The sequence below is a fragment of the Homo sapiens genome, chromosome 2 (assembly GCF_000001405.40).
Source record: "Homo sapiens chromosome 2, GRCh38.p14 Primary Assembly".
Taxonomy (NCBI): domain Eukaryota; kingdom Metazoa; phylum Chordata; class Mammalia; order Primates; family Hominidae; genus Homo; species Homo sapiens.
In genome coordinates, this window is record NC_000002.12 from 173,991,429 (window position 1) to 173,993,610 (window position 2,182).

Here is a 2,182-nt window from a genome sequence, read left to right on the forward strand (position 1 = left end):
CCTCTGGCACGTTCACAGCTGCTGTTGCGCTCTTGGCTTATTCTGTCTAGAGGTCTCCCTGCCTCCACCCCTCTTTTTTCCCCCCCTTTCTCCCCAGATGTCTCAGTGTTTATGTGGGAAAGCATGTTCGTAGAGCCTGTTAGAGACTTTCGAAGTCATGCCTTCCCCTGCAGCTTTGGGAGTCCACCACGTCTAAGTAATGTGTAAAGGGGACTGAACAGGAAGGTGTATTTTGCATTCTCTGGGTAGAGTTGCTAAATGCAACTCTGGGTTTCCCCTGGCACCGTTCTCTGATTCGTGAGCATCCAAAACTCAGGTCCTTGCCCTCAGAACAACCAGCCAGATTAATGCAGACGTGCAATATGGCTGAGTTCCAGCTATGGAGGAGCAAGGGTGTTTTACATTTTCTTGTCCAGTGAAAATCCTCCCCATTCTCACAACCTTGGTGCCTCCAATTTAATGATGTTCCATTACCTGGAATTTGGGGTGTGTTTCTCTTCTTTTTTTCCAAAAGAAATTCAAGCAAAGACCAAATGCAAGTGAGTGATCTCAGATAATGAACTGCCAGGGCTTGTGCCAGATGCTGTCCCACCGTCAAACCAGCATGCGTCAGTCCGTGCTGGTCACCACAGCTTCTTACTGCAGTCAAGCCAGCCAGCCCAACTCCCCTGGGGCTGGGAGGGCCCTTAAAGCTTCAGGATAATATTGGCAAATGTGTGCACCTCCCAGCTTTAAGAACAGTTTTGTTTTGTTTTTTTAAATAAAATTAATTCATGCAATCTACTGCATTTGCACTCCAATCCAATAGTCAGACCAGGACACGCCTGAAAGGCTGAATCTGATGTAGCTTCAAAAGGTGTCAGAGCAATCACATACCTAGGATGGGGAGCGTGACTGCCCTAAAGGTAAATCTTCCTCCTGGAGGAAACTGGCAGGAAATACCCTGCCTAGAACAAATACTCCTGCTGCAGGGATTTCTTGCCATTTTCATTTTTAGAAACCAGAAAAACATGAAATGTGAAAAGGGCCCCAGTTCTAACCATCTTACTCATACCTGGCCACAAACAAAACTAAGAAATGGGCCAGGAAGGTAAGTCCAGGTTTTCAGCCCATATCTGCACCAAAGGCAAGGACCCAATCAGTGCCACCCTACTCCTCAGCCCAGGGTAGACTAAAGCCGCTCTGGGGCACACGCATTACTGAAATCTCTTCATACAGGACAGCAGAGCAGAGCAATCAGAGAAGTATGTCATGGAGTCAATATAATAATCATCACAATAATAGTAATGGCCACTAGGATTCTTGTCCTACTTCTACTCCTTATAGGCTTCGTGACCTTGGGCAAGTCATTTACCGTTTCTCTTTGTTCACCTGTAACATTGTAACATTGTCATAATTATCCGTTCTGCCCTTGTCCCAGGCTGGTCTTAAGAACAGGATGAGGCCAGGCACAGTGGCTCACGCCTGTAATCCCAGCACTTTGGGAGGCCGAGGCGGGTGGATCACCTGAGGAATTTGAGACCAGCCTGGCCAACATGGTAAAACCCATCTCTACTAAAAATAGAAAAAATTAGCCAGGCGTAGAGGCGCGTGCCTGTAATCCCAGCTACATGGGAGGCTGAGGCAAGAGAATCACTGGAACCTGGGAGGTGGAGGTTGTAGTGAGCCAAGATGGCGCCACTGCACTCCAGCCTGAAAAACAAGAGCGAAACTCCGTCTCAAAAAAAAAAAAAAAAATGAACTGGACGAGATTGTAGGATTAAAGTTTTTTTGAAAAGAAAAAGTTCATTTGTAACCTATTTAGAATATTTATTCTTATTAAGACTACTTAACACCAAATAAGTATTTCAAAAGATACCACACCTAAATATCATACCTATGGACAATATCTTAGTTATCTACTGATGACTAAATATGCAGAATTTGGTGGGTGCATCTGCCATGTTGTATTTTTCTTGTAATATTCCAAACTGTTACTGGAGATATGCAAATAGCCTCACTGCATAAAACCCATGACCATGGCATTTGCTAAAGTGGGCTTCTACCTCGTGGTGTGGTGTAGTTTCAAGGGTCCCTGAGGAGTGCTCTGCACAACTCTGAGTGGGTGGTACAAGTCTTTAACTAGACCACATAAAAATTATATATATTCTCATGGAATGCAGCTATCTCTATGATTTGTGAG

General features: G+C 44.9%; 1 annotated feature.

The window, feature by feature from the left end:
• Positions 1,321–1,494: a silencer, noted in NCBI's record as "fragment chr2:174857477-174857650 (GRCh37/hg19 assembly coordinates)". NCBI's record gives its function as "represses an EF-1alpha promoter that drives an FKBP-Casp9 reporter gene in an ReSE screen in K562 erythroleukemia cells {active_cell/tissue: K562}" and the evidence as "EXISTENCE:reporter gene assay evidence [ECO:0000049][PMID:32094911]".